The 13,443-nt window shown below is 39.7% G+C and overlaps 1 long non-coding RNA gene across 1 annotated transcript in view, besides 2 other annotated features; it reads left to right on the forward strand.

The window, feature by feature from the left end:
- LINC02456 (long intergenic non-protein coding RNA 2456) overlaps window positions 1-13,443 on the forward strand; it is a 432,422-nt gene that overhangs the window by 202,947 nt on the left and 216,032 nt on the right. Inside the window, exon 11 of the long non-coding RNA XR_007063427.1 lies at window positions 1-1,368. This exon is cut by the window's left edge and continues 26,734 nt beyond it. This is a non-coding gene — a long non-coding RNA (long intergenic non-protein coding RNA 2456). The remainder of the gene's footprint in view (window positions 1,369-13,443) is intronic.
- Window positions 1,273-1,332: an enhancer, noted in NCBI's record as "active region_6883". NCBI's record gives its function as "activates an Ori minimal core promoter by ATAC-STARR-seq in GM12878 lymphoblastoid cells {active_cell/tissue: GM12878}" and the evidence as "EXISTENCE:reporter gene assay evidence [ECO:0000049][PMID:35858748]".
- Window positions 1,865-1,924: an enhancer, noted in NCBI's record as "active region_6884". NCBI's record gives its function as "activates an Ori minimal core promoter by ATAC-STARR-seq in GM12878 lymphoblastoid cells {active_cell/tissue: GM12878}" and the evidence as "EXISTENCE:reporter gene assay evidence [ECO:0000049][PMID:35858748]".

Consider the following 13,443-nt stretch of genomic DNA (forward strand, 5'->3'; position numbering starts at 1 on the left):
TGATTTGTGACAAATCTTTTTCTTTTCTGCAGTTTTTGTGGATCACACCCTTTCTGAAAAATGTCTATTCTCTTACAGACTTTGAGGATGTAGATTGTATAAAACAATAGAGCTGATCTCACCTGTCTTCCAGATGAGAAAAAACCTCTTTAACCAAGTTTGGAGAGTCAGATACTGGCTGGAGTCTTGGTGCTAAGTTCTTGTTCCAACATTGGACACCATTACAGGTGAAGGCCAGGACTTTGTTTAACCCCTTCCCACTGCAGTTTTAGCATACTTTAATTGTTCCAAGATGTCCTAGAAGCTAACTATATGTCTCCAAGTCTATCACCCATTTTGATGTTCTCTCTTGGCATGCTCGGTGCACAGATATAACCTTATCCACAAGCATTTCATATGAAAGGCTGTTTTGGGGACAGATGCTGTACTCCAGCGATATTGACACACTGACTCACAGTCTCTCGGTTTTGTAACCCCAATTACCCTTAAAGGATAATTAGGTTTTAATTTATGTCCTAGTTTTTATGTCACAATCAAAGAAAACTGAAATTTCAGTGAGTCGTAATTGTCATCAGCTGTGCTTTGGAAACATTCCAATGAGAGCTATCAGTTTCCAATGGGGGAAGCAATTTCCTGAGGTGATTAATGTATATTTCAATTTGGAGAATGGTCTATATTTTTGGACAGGGTGAGCCAGCAATGGATCAGGGCAATAATTCCTAGAGAAAAGGTCATTTTCTTGGCTAATTCCAGGAGTCAATATGAAAATGAAAGAGCAATAAACATGCCACCAGATTACTTTTTAATGGCTAAGTGATGTACCTGTTTAGGAGTAAAAGAAATGAATGCACCTATTACTACAAATCCAAGGTAGTAGTAAATCTAAAGCCCAAGAGGAGTTCAGGTTATGAAGTCCCATTGGAGAGAAACATCTAGGGTCATTATAAAAGTATGGAATGATTATGTAGTCTCCTGCCTGCAAAAATCTGACAGTGAGATATGGCCACCAAAATAGCTAACCGCAAGGATGTGCTTATCATAAGAACATCCACTCCTGGAAATTCAGAGATTCACAGTTTCACCTTTTGCATGTGTAATGCCTGTGGGATATAAATAACTCTCCCCTAAAGCCTTCTTCTTGAGTAGCATATTTGCATAAAGCTACAGCCTCAGAAAACTTCTGACACCTTTCGCACACACACAGAAAAAATTGTTCATTTCCTTAAAGGGTGAGCTGGCTAAGGTACACAGAAAGCAGGGGTGGGGTGGGCAAGGAGGCCCTCCCTGTCTTCCCCCCAACTTTTTTTTTCTTCTCAAGCCATGTTCCCAGTCTTTCCTGTGTTAACTGGAGAGGCGTTCATCCAAAAGGTAATTTCATATCCATGTACAATAGGGCATATTTACAATTTATTTCATGAATGTCTTTGCTTACTCCCAAGGAAAGCTCAGAATGGACATTTGGAGGTAAGGGAATTTTGGAATCAAATAAAGGGTGAGGCTTAAGGTTCTAGGGCAACCACCAGGCAAAGAACTTGGGGGAAACTATTGGATGTTTCTTTTGGATCATGGTTTGTGAGGAGGGTTGGTCATGGGTTGCTCAAACTAATGTTGGAGGTCAAGAACTTGTCAATTCAGAATATAAAACTCAGAGGAAAGACAGGGCCTCAAAAACTCAACATGCTGCCGAGCAAGGGGCCTAATGTCAGCTCCAAAACATCTGCTCAGAAAGATTCCTGTGATTCCCCAGGAAGATTTGCTCAAAGGAGCTGCTCTAACTCCTTAAAGAAGTGTTTCGCCCACGACTAGGGAAAACAGAAATAGGGAGGAGAAATCCTCTCACTAAAGAAATCAATGCTTTCTTTTCAACATCAAACTTGGATCTTATTTCTTCTAAAATGTCAAAAGGGCAAATACTGGAAACAGAAACGAAACTGTTGTGGTTGTGTGAGCAAAGTAATTCTTCGTTATGGCAGAGGAGAAGTCACGGCATGGGGTAAGGATGGGTTGGTGGAGTGAGAGAACTTGAGGACTCGTCACGCTTGCCCCACGTTGCATAAAATGTGGGGAAAAGAGACACCAACGCCAAACTTCAGGGGCAGGACCCACATAAATGCTTTCTTGGGGAATAAAAAAATGTGCGCGCCCTCTAGTGGACTTCTGAGAAACTGCCACTGCACTCTTGACCGTGGATGCGTTCTGGCAGGAGTGGGTTTTTTTTTTGAAAGCTCTGGATTTAAATACATTTTAAGCTACACTTATCTTTAGTTTTATTAAGTCTTTTGAAATAAGTAAGATAGATGTTCAACTCACTGTAGTTTAAAAAGGGGAAGATTGATAAGGGGGAAAGAAAGATCATAAACTTCATCAGGGCATGGATGGATTCCTCATGGCCATATTCCCAGCACTTAACTCCGGGTGCATGAGCTCAAAACATTTTGTTGAATGAATGCAAGTCTGGAAAACAAATGATGATAAAGGTAAAATATAAAAATTGCACAAACTCTTTAAGAGTAAAATAACCAACCTCCTCATTTTATAAGAAAAATAAGACCAGGAAGAGGGGCTGTTGGAGGATAGAAAAATGACTTCTCGAGAAGCAAGACAAATTTAGGTGCTCACAAAATAGAATTCAAACCCAGTCTCCTTGTCTGTTCTGCAGTATTTCTATCATGTTAGTTTTCAAAATGTGGGTTATAACACCCCTGGTCAAAGACGTGGCGTTAAAGAATCACTTAAGTATAGAGATGATTCCATTTACAATTCCCTTTCTGATCCTGAATCTCCAAAGGAGAAAGTCTCAGTTTGGCGCTAGTCTGTCTTCAGTGCTTCCCTAGCACTCATTAGTCTCTCTTTATTTTATTTTTTAATTTAATTTTTAATTTTTGTGGGTATGTAGTAGGTATATATATTTATGGGACACGTGAGATATTTTGATACAGGCATGAAATGTGAAATAAACACATCATGGAGAATTGGGTATCCATCCCCTCAAACATTTATCCTTTGTGTTGCAAAAACCTCTCGTTTTAACAACCAAAAAGTGAATCTCAAGTCCAAAATCTTTCCAGACAGAAGTTCCTATTTTGTTTTTATGGAATTTGCTTTTAAGCAAAACTTCTATTTAAGGCAAATGATGCTATATTTAAAAAAGATATTTTAAAGTTTAGTTTTAAAATGTATGTATATAAGTCTTAAGAACATCAAGTCAAGAAAAACATATATATTTAAAGTAAGTAAATAATTTGACAGGTGGCCGACCGTTATGACACACAATTGTAGGTGGTGTTTGAAACCCTGATGTTTGGAAATCACTACAATAACATGTCATTGTGTTAGAAAAACAAATACATAGCCACAACATAAAGACAGGGAACAAAGACCCTCTACATAAAAAGATGCCACCATATAAATGCATTAATTACATTTCTAGATAATTTTGATCTCCATTAAGCTCACTCATTTTTCACTTCAGTCTTTCATAGAGACTGGAAATGTTGAAGAGGGGTTGGCAGACAGAAAAGCATCTGAGTTAGGCCTTGAAGCATGAATTCACCACCAAGATGGAAAAACAATGATAAAGGCTATTCCAGGCAGAGGGAACAGCATGAGCAAACTTACGTAGGCATGAGAAAGTTCACAGTGATGGGGGGATGTGGGAGATGAGGCTGTGGCTGTGAGCTCAGAGTCCTACCTGTGGAACCCTTTTACCTCCCACTCCCCGTCAGTAGCCTCCTTCACACAGTTGGATGACTTGAAAACAGTCTTAATTTCCTCATGTTCCCTTGTACACAAAGATTTGTGTGTAACTAAGTCTGTGATTAACTCTGGGAATGGCACAGTGCCTCAAGGTAAATATGTAATAGCAGACGTGGGTTACATCAGAGCCTAGGCCCACAAGAGGCAGGCCTGGGTAAGAACTGAGGTACCTATTGATCATCTATTCACCTTTCCAGATATTCCATTTGTAAAGCTTAATTGCAGTGTTTATACTTTGGGAGGTAGATTTTAATGATTACACTTGATAAAGATTTTTCACTGTAAGAGTTGAGGCAAGATCTTGTTTCTGGGGAGCAGTGAACTCTCTAGGAATGCAGGTTCATCAGAGCATCACATACTTCATGTGGGCTGATTAAGGAAGTTTTATTATGCTCCGTGAAAGCAGGGCATGGAGCCCCAGACTCAATCTTTTACCTCAAGGTGGCTAACTGGGGAAACTTCTCAGGGTGCTTCCTGTTGGGGTCCCCTTTATAAACAGAAGTTAGGACACTCAATTGCAGCGGGGATGCTGCATCCAGAAGAGCCCTTTGTAATGCTCTACCTGGGAAGCACATACCCTTCAAAATAGTATCTTGTCCTGTCTGGGTGCTGTGGCTCAAGCCTGTAATCCCAGTGCTTTGGGAGGCAGAAGCGGGCGGATCACCTGAGGTCGGGAGTTCAAGACCAGCCTGACCAACATGGTGAAACCCCATCTCTACTAAAAATACAAAAAGAATTAGCGGGGTGTGGTGGCGGGTGCCTGTAATCCCAGCTACTCGGGAGGCTGAGGCAGGAGAATCGCTTGAACCCAGGAGGCAGAGGTTGTGGTGAGCCAAGATCGTGCCATTGTGCTCCAGCCTGGGCAACGAGAGAAAAACTCCATCTCAAAAAAAAAAAAAAAAAAAAAAAGTACCTTGTCCTCTGCCCAGCACAAACCCTTTAACACGAGTTAAACACCTTGCAGACACTCAGATATTCTTAGGACACCCTTTGCTCCTTTCATAATACCTTGGTGAAGACCTCAGCTTCTTTCGGAGCTCCAGATAAAATGTTAAGCCCAGTTGTATTAGTCATGGTTCTCCAGAGAACCAAAATCAACAGGATGTATACAAGTATATATAGAGAGGTTTATTTTAGGGAATTGGCTCACATGATTGTGGCAGCTTGGAAAGTCAAAGTCTGCAGGGTAGACCAGCAGGCTGGAGAACCAGGGAGGGGAGCAAAGGCAGTCTGCTAGCAGAATTTCTTCTTCTGAGGAAGAGGTCAGTCTCTTTTTATTAAGGCCTTCAACTGATTAGATGAGACCACTCGCATTATGGAGGTAATCTCCTTTGCTCAAAGTCTACTGACTTACATGTTAATCTCACCTTAAAAAGTCACAGAGACATGTACAATGATGCTTGACAAAGTATTTGGGTACTGTGGCCTAGCTAAGTGGACACATAAAATTAACCATCGTATCAGTGCCTCTCAAAAGGTGCGCTCACTGGTCCTCCCTCACTAAAACTGAGTAGTAATAATACTATTTTCCAAGTGGCAAAAAAGAAAACCCAAGTTAATAAATTATATTTTCCAATTCTAAGTTTTCTTACTCATTTTTCTTTCACCTGTGGCTCCTGCACTTACTGTTTCTTGATCATTTCCAAAGAGAAGTTGTGACCACTTGACTTGGCTGTGTCATTAATATTGTATGAAGATGACACTCATTGGCAACAAGAAAATAAACAGTGGGTTTTTTTTTGTCTTATTCTAGAACGCACACAGCACTCAAACACATGCAAACAAATACAAAAATAGGCACCTGTGCTTAGTTTCTCTAGATAATAAGAAGTACACTCATTCCCTCATAAGAAAGTTAGCTGTTTAGACCAATGGAGAGAAGTTTCAAGCCTAAGGTGATATTTGAGTTGGGATGATTTCCTGCCCTTTAGCAACAATGAGAGAGAGCTTTTACAACATGTTTATGCCTCTAGAGACTGACTCTGTGCCTGACCCTATGTGGGACTATGAACCTTTGTGTAGCATGAGGCAAGTGATTTTTAGCACCTCTAATACTTTTTTGCATTTTTTTTTTTTACCTTAAGCAGGTATTTTACAGTCAGGAAAAGTCTCCCAAAACAATGATTGGAAACATGATTGATAGGTGCTCTTTGTACCATCTGTTCTTAGTGTTGACTGAAAATGTAGCATATACATGTGTGTTTATGTGGATGTGTATTTTTTAAATTATACTTTAAGTTCTGGAATACATGTGTGGACGGTGCAGGTTTGTTACATAGGTATACATGTGCCATGGTGGTTTGCTGCACCCATCAACCTGTCATCTATATTAAGTATTTCTCCTAATGCTATCCCTCCCCTAGCCTCCCACGCCAGAAAGGCCCTGGTGTGTGATGTTCCCATCCCTGTGCCCATGTGTTCTCATTGTTCAACTCCCACATATAAGTGAGAACATGCGACATTTGGTTTTCTGTTCCTGTGTTAGTTTGCGGAGAATGATGTCCCTGCAAAGAACATGAACTCATTCTTTTTTATGGCTGCATAGTATTCTATGGTATGTATGTGCCATATTTTCTTTATCCAGTCTATCATTGATGGGTATTTGGGTTGGTTCCAAGTCTTTGCTATTGTGAATACTGCCACAATAAACATACGTGTGCATGTGTCTTTATAGTAGCATGATTTATAATCCTTTGGGTATATACCCAGTAATGGGATTGCTGGGTCAAATTGTATTTCTGGTTCTAGATCCTTGAAGAATTGCCACACTGTCTTCCACAATGGTTGAACTAATTTACACTCCCATCAACAGTGTAAAAGCATTTCCTCTATTTCTCCAAATCCTCTTCAGCATCTGTTGTTTCCTGGCTTTTTAATGATCGCCATTCTAACTGGCATGAGATGGTATCTCATTGTGGTTTTGATTTGCATTTCTCTAATGACCAGTGATGAAGAGCTTTTTTCATATATTTTTTGGCCACATAAATGTCTTCTTTTGAAAAGTGTCTGTTCATATCCTTTGCCCACTTTTTGATGGGGTTGTTTGTTTTTTTCTTGTAAATTTGTTTAAGTTCTTTGTAGATTCTGGATATTAGCCCTTTGTCAGATGGATACGTTGCAAAAATCTTCTCCCATTCTGTAGGTTGCCTGTTCACTCTGATGATAGTTTCTTTTGCTGTGCAGAAACTCTTTAGTTTAATTAGATCCCATTTGTCAATCTTGGCTTTTGTTGCAATTGCTTTTGGTGTTTTAGTTATGGAGTGTTTGCCTATGCCTATGTCCTGAATAGTATTGCCTAGGTTTTCTTCTAAGATTTTTATGGTTTTAAGTCTTCCATTTAAGTTGTTAATTCATCTTGAGTTAATTTTTGTATAAGGTATAAGGAAGGGGTCCAGTTTCAGTTTCCTGCATATGGCTAGCCAGTTTTCCCAGCACCATTTATTAAATAGGGAACCCTTTCTCCATTGCTTGTTTTTGTCAGGACAAAAACCTCCATTGCAGGTTTGTCAAAGATCAGATGGTTGTAGATGTGTGGCACTATTTCTGAGGCCTCTGTTCTGTTCCATTGGACTATTTATCGGTTTTGGTACCAGTACCATGCTGTTTTGGTTACTGTAGCCTTGTAGTGTAGTTTAAAGTCAGGTAGCATGATGCCTCCACTTTGTTCCTTTTGCTTAGGATTGTCTTGGCTACACGGGCATTTTTTTGGTTCCATATGAAATTTAAAGTAGTTTTTTTTTTTCTAATTCTGTGAAGAAAGTCAATGGTACCTTGATGGGAATAGCATTGAATCTATAAATTACTATGGGCAGTATGACCATTTTCACAATATTGATTCTTCCTATCCATGAGCATAGAATATTTTTTCATTTGTTTGTGTCCTCTCTGATTTCCTTGAGCAGTGGTTTGTAGTTCTCCTTGAAGAGGTCCTTCACATCCCTTGTTAGTTGTATTTCTAGGTATTTTATTCTCTTTGTAGCAATTGCTAATGGGAGTTCACTCATGATTTGGCTCTCTGTTTGTCTGTTATTGGTGTATAGGAATGCTTGTGAATTTTGCACATTGACTTTGTATCCTGAGACTTTGCTGAAGTTGCTTATCAGCTTAAGGAGATTTGGGGCTGAGATGATGGGGTTTTCTTAATACACAATCATGTCATCTACAAACAATTTGACTTCCTCTCTTCCCATTTGAATATGCTTTGTTTCTTTCTCTTGCTTGATTGCCCTGGCCAGAATGTCCAATAATGTGTTGGATAGGAGTGCTGAGAGAGGGCATATTTGTCTTGTGCTGGTTTTCAGAGGGAATGCTTCCAGCTTTTGCCCATTCAGTATGATATTGGCTGTGGGTTTGTCATAATTAGCACTTACTATTTTGAGATATGTTCCACTGATACCTAGTTTATTGAGAGTTTTTAGCATGAAGGGCTGTTGAATTTTATTGAAGGACTTTTCTGCATCTCTTGAGATAATCATGTGGTTTTTGTCATCGGTTCTGTTTATGTGATGGATTATGTTTATTGGTTTGCATATGCTGAACCAGCCTTGCATCCCAGGGATGAAGCTGACTTGGTCATCATGGATAAGCTTTTTGATGTGCTGCTGGATTCGGTTTGCTAGTATTTTATTGAGGATTTTTGCATTGACGTTCATCAGGGATATTGGCCTGAAATTTTCTTTTTTTGTTGTGTCTGTGCCAGGTTTTGGTATCAGAATGATGCTGGCTTCATAAAATGAGTTAGGGAGGAGTCCCTCTTTTTCTCTTGTTTGGTATAGTTTCAGAAGGAATGGTACCAGCTCCTCTTTGTACCTCTGGAAGAATTTGGCTGTGAATCCATCTGGTCCTGAGATTTTTTTAGTTGGTAGGCTATTAATTACTGCCTCAATTTCAGTACTTGTTATTGGTTTATTCAGGGATTCGACTTCTTCCTGGTTTAGTCTTGGCAGGGTGTATGTGTCCAGCAATTTATCCATTTCTTCTAGATTTTCTAGTTTGTTTGCATAGAGATGTTTATAGCATTATCTGATGGTAGTTTGTATTTCTGTAGGATCAGTGGTGATATCCCCTTTATTATTGTTTATTGTGTCTATTTGATTCTTCTCTCTTTTCTTCCTTATTAGTCTGGCTAACAGTCTATCTATTTTGTTAATCTTTCAAAAAACCAGCTCCTGGATTCATTGATTTTTTTGATGGGTTTTTCGTGTCTCTATGTCTTTCAGTTCTGCTCTGATCTTAGTTATTTCGTGTCTTCTGCTAGCTTTTGAATTTGTTTGCTCTTGCTTCTCTAGTTCTTTTAATTTTGATATTAGGGTGTCAATTTTTGATCTTTTCTCCTCTTTCCTGTGGGCATTTAGTGCTATAAATTTCCCTCGAAACCTTGCTTTAGCTGTGTCCCAGAGATTCTGGTACATTGTGTCTTTGCTCTCATTGGTTTCAAAGAACTTATTTATTTCTGCCTTCATTTTGTTATTTACCCAGTATTCATTAAGGAGTAGGTTGTTCAGTTTTTATGTAGTTGTGAAGTTTTGAGTGAGTTTCTTGATCCTGAGTTCTAATTTGATTGCACTGTGGTCCGAGAGACTGTTTGTTATGATTTCTATTCTTTTGCATTTGCTGAGGAGTGTTTTACTTCCAATTATGTGGTCAGTTTTAGAATAAGTGTGATGTGGTGCTGAGAAGAATGTATATTCTGTTGATTTGGGGTGGAGAGTTCTGTAGATGTCTATTAGGTCCACTTGGTCCAGAGCTGAGTTCAAGTCCTGAATATCCTTGCTAATTTTCTGTCTCACTGATTTGTCTAATATTCACAGTGGGGAGTTAAACTCTCCTACTATTATTGTGTGGTGTATTTAGGATAGTTAGTTCTTCTTGTTGCATTGATCCCTTTACCATTATGTAATACCCTTTGTCTTTTTTGATCTTTGTTGGTTTAAAGTCTGTTTTATCAGAGACTAGGATTGCAACCTCTGCTTTTTTTTTGCTTTCCATTTGCTTGGTAAATCTTCCTCCATCCCTTTATTTTGAGCCTGTGTGTGTTTGCATGTGAGATTGGTCTCCTGAATACAGCACACTGGTGGGTCTTGACTCTTTATCCAATTTGCCAGTCTGTGCCTTTTAATTGGGGCATTTAGCCCATTTACATATAAGGTTAATATTGTTATGTGTGAATTTGAACCTATCATTATGATGTTAGCTGCTTATTTTGCCCATTAGCTGGTGCAGTTTCTTCATAGTGTTGATGATCTTTAAGGTACCAGTTTTTCCTTTACACATTTAGTGCTTCCTTCAGGAGTTCTTATAAGGCAGGCCTGCTGGCGACAAAATCCCTTAGCATTTGCTTGTCTGTAAAGGATTTTATTTCTCCTTCACTTATGAAGCTTAGTTTGGCTGGATATGAAATTCTGGGTTGAAAATTCTTTTTTTTTCAGAATGTTGAATATTGGCCCCCACTTTCTTCTGGCTTGTAGGTTTTCTGCAAAGAGATCTGGTCTTAGTCTGATGGGCTCCCCTTTGTGGGTAACCCAACCTTTCTCTCTGTCTGCCCTTAACATTTTTTCCTGCATTTCAACCTTGGTGAATCTGACAATTATGTATCTTGGGGTTGCTCTTCTCGAGAAGTATCTTTGTGGTGTTCTCTGTATTTCCTGAATTTGAGTGTTTGCCTGTCTTGCTAGGTTGGGGAAGTTCTCCTGGATAATATCCTCAAGTGTGTTTTCCAACTTGCTTCCATTCTCCCTGTCACTTTCAGATACACCATTCAAATGTAGGTTTGGTCTTTTTCACACAGTCCCATATTTCTTGGAGGCTTTGTTCATTCCTTTTTATTCTTTTTTCTCTAATCTTGTCTTCCTGCTTTATTTCATTAAGTTGATCTTCAATCTCTGATATCCATTCTTCCACTTGATCGATTTGACTATTGATACTTGTGTATGCTTCACAAAGTTCTCAAGCTCTTTTTTTCAGCTCCATCAGGTCATTTATGTTAGTCTCTTAAGTGGTTATTGTAGTTAGCAATTCCTGTAACCTTTTATCAAGGTTCTTAGCTTCCTTGCATTGGGTTAGAACATGCTCCTTTAGCTTGGAGGTGTTTGTTATTACCCACCTTCTGAAGCCTACTCTGTCAATTCATCAAACTCATTCTATGTCCAGTTTTGTTCCCTTGCTGGTGAGGAGTTGTGATCCTTTGGAGGAGAAGAGGCATTCTGGTTTTTGGAATTTTCAGCCTTTTTGTGCTGGTTTTTCCTCATCTTCGTGGATTTATCTACCTTTGGTCTTTGCTGTTGGTGATCTTCGGATGGAGATTTTTGTTGATGTTGATGCTATTGCTTTCTATTTGTAAGTTTTCCTTCTAACAGTCAGGCCCCTCTTCTGCAGGTCTGCTGGAGTTTGCAGGGGGTTCACTCCAGATCCTGTTTGCCTGGGTATCGCAAGCAGAGGCTGCATAACAGCAAAGATTTCTGTCTACTCCTTTCTCTGGAAGCTTTGTCCCAGAGGGGCACCCGCCAAATGCCAGCCAGAGCTCTCCCGTATGAGATGTCTGTCGACCCCTGCTGTGAGGTGTCTCCCTGTCAGGAGACACAGAAGTCAGGGACCAACTTGAGGAGGCAGTCTGTCCCTTAGCAGGGCTCAAGTGCTGTGCTGGGAGATCCGCTGTTCTCTTCAGAGCTGGCAGGCAGAAATGTTTAAGTCTGCTGAAGCTGTGCCCACAGCTGCCCCTTCCCCCAGGTGCTCTGTCTCAGGAAGATGGGAGTTTTATCTATAAGCCCCTGACTGGGGCTTCTGCCTTTCTTTCAGAGATTCCCTGCCCAGATATGTGGGTGTGTATTTAGTTACTCAGTTTTGTGCTTTACTCTTCAAAGCTTTTGAACCTCTATAAGTATTATCTTGGTCTTGGCTTGCTTATTTGACACCTGTATTCACTTGCTCATCAAACCTCACCCTCATTCTTCCACTTTATTTTATAATGTCTTTCAGGTCCATCTTCTTCCTTTCCATTTGCCTGGCATTGTTCCATAATGGATTGATGAAATCTTGATTATTGCATGAGCTTCTAACTAGTCTTCCCTCATGGCAATCTAGCCATTGTCTGGTTGCTGAAATCATCTTCCACACATACCATGTTCAGCAACATGCAATGCCTCCTCAGAGTCCTTTGATCACATCTAAGCCCCCCTCCTGCCATTCAAAACACTCTCTTCCTCAGCAACCTCATCTCTTGCTAATGTTCAGCATGGCTTCTTCATAACTAACCTGTTATTGTATACCAGTATGTCCCTAGCTCCCAGCTTAGTGCTTGGTTTTTAATGGGTGCTCAATAAATATTTATATATTAATAATGATATTAATAAATGCTACCATTACTGAGTTTGTATTATGTTGAATACTTTATTTCATATTAGTTTTAATAATCTCATTTAATTATCACTCTATTTCCATTTTTAGTTCAAAGTGTCTGGGGGCAGTTCTTGGAACATACCAGACACCCAAAAATGTTTGGTGGATAAATGAAGAGAAAATTGGGCTAGAAGTTAAATGATTTGGTTGATGTCCTATGGCTAGTAAATTACAGATTCCAGATTCAAAATCAGGTTGTTCTAATACACAACACTATGTGCTCTTCCAACCCAGCACTACAATTTCATGCAGAGTTTTCACTATACTATGTTACCTATAACAAAACAAAACAAGCAGCCAGAGAAGCATAAATAGACAATTAGTCTCCATAAGCAAGAGTTGGAAGAGTCCAAGCCAGAATCTCAGGCAAAGTCCAACTCTGTCAGGAAGCCACTTATACTCTTCCAGTTACAGTAAGAGCAAAGGATAGGTTTTCTGGGGCATGTCTTTCTGGAGCCTTATATGTAGGAAACTGAAGTAAAGCAAATCATAATGCCAAACTTTTATCTACTGTGTCACACTCTGATTTGGATAGGCTTTGTTCTGTTGAGACGTAAAAGCCTTAACATTCCCACTTAATAGCCTTGAATGCTCTATTTCTTACAATCCTAGAGTCTAGGGTAAACTCTATCTGTACTTCCTAAGGTTAAAGAAGCATCTACATGTTGTCCTAGGATAAATAACATAGCAAATTCCTTTCAACCTGCCCCAGAATCAGTGCAGTTTGGGGGTTTTCAGAGGCTATTACTTTCCCTGTTTGGCACTCTCAAATGGGCTCATGGTAGATTAGAGACAGTTTCTGAAGTCATGCTGACTTTCTTGAAATTCAAGATAGTATGGTTTAACCAGGTTGTATGCTTTCTGACTAGCATTTTGGCTTTTTGCTCCCAGTTCTTCTTTGTGGGTTTTTTCCCTCTTTTCTTTTCCCACTTTCCCTGGCTAATGAATACTAGCTGAACTAGTTCCCTTTAATCAACTGCTCTCTGGCTTCACATCCCTGACTCTTCACAAGGAAAATGGTGACTTCAGATTTGGATCTTGCAGGCGTCAGAGCACTGCCAACCCACTGGCAGGCTCTTTCCCAGCTTGGGTTCCCATCGAGGTAGCAATCCCACATCCTGGACTGGTGAGCTTCTCTGCGAGGTGCCAAAGTTATTAAATTCACTCCACTGCTTTGGAAAGCGAAGACATCCAGAGGCAACTGTAGCATTTTCAAAGTTTAGAGAGAAGTTAGGGCTTCTCAATGAGGGCATCTATTTTTCCCAAGAGGGCCTCTATTTTTCCCAAGATGTT

This window comes from Homo sapiens, chromosome 12 (genome assembly GCF_000001405.40).
Source record: "Homo sapiens chromosome 12, GRCh38.p14 Primary Assembly".
Classification (NCBI taxonomy): Eukaryota; Metazoa; Chordata; class Mammalia; order Primates; family Hominidae; genus Homo; species Homo sapiens.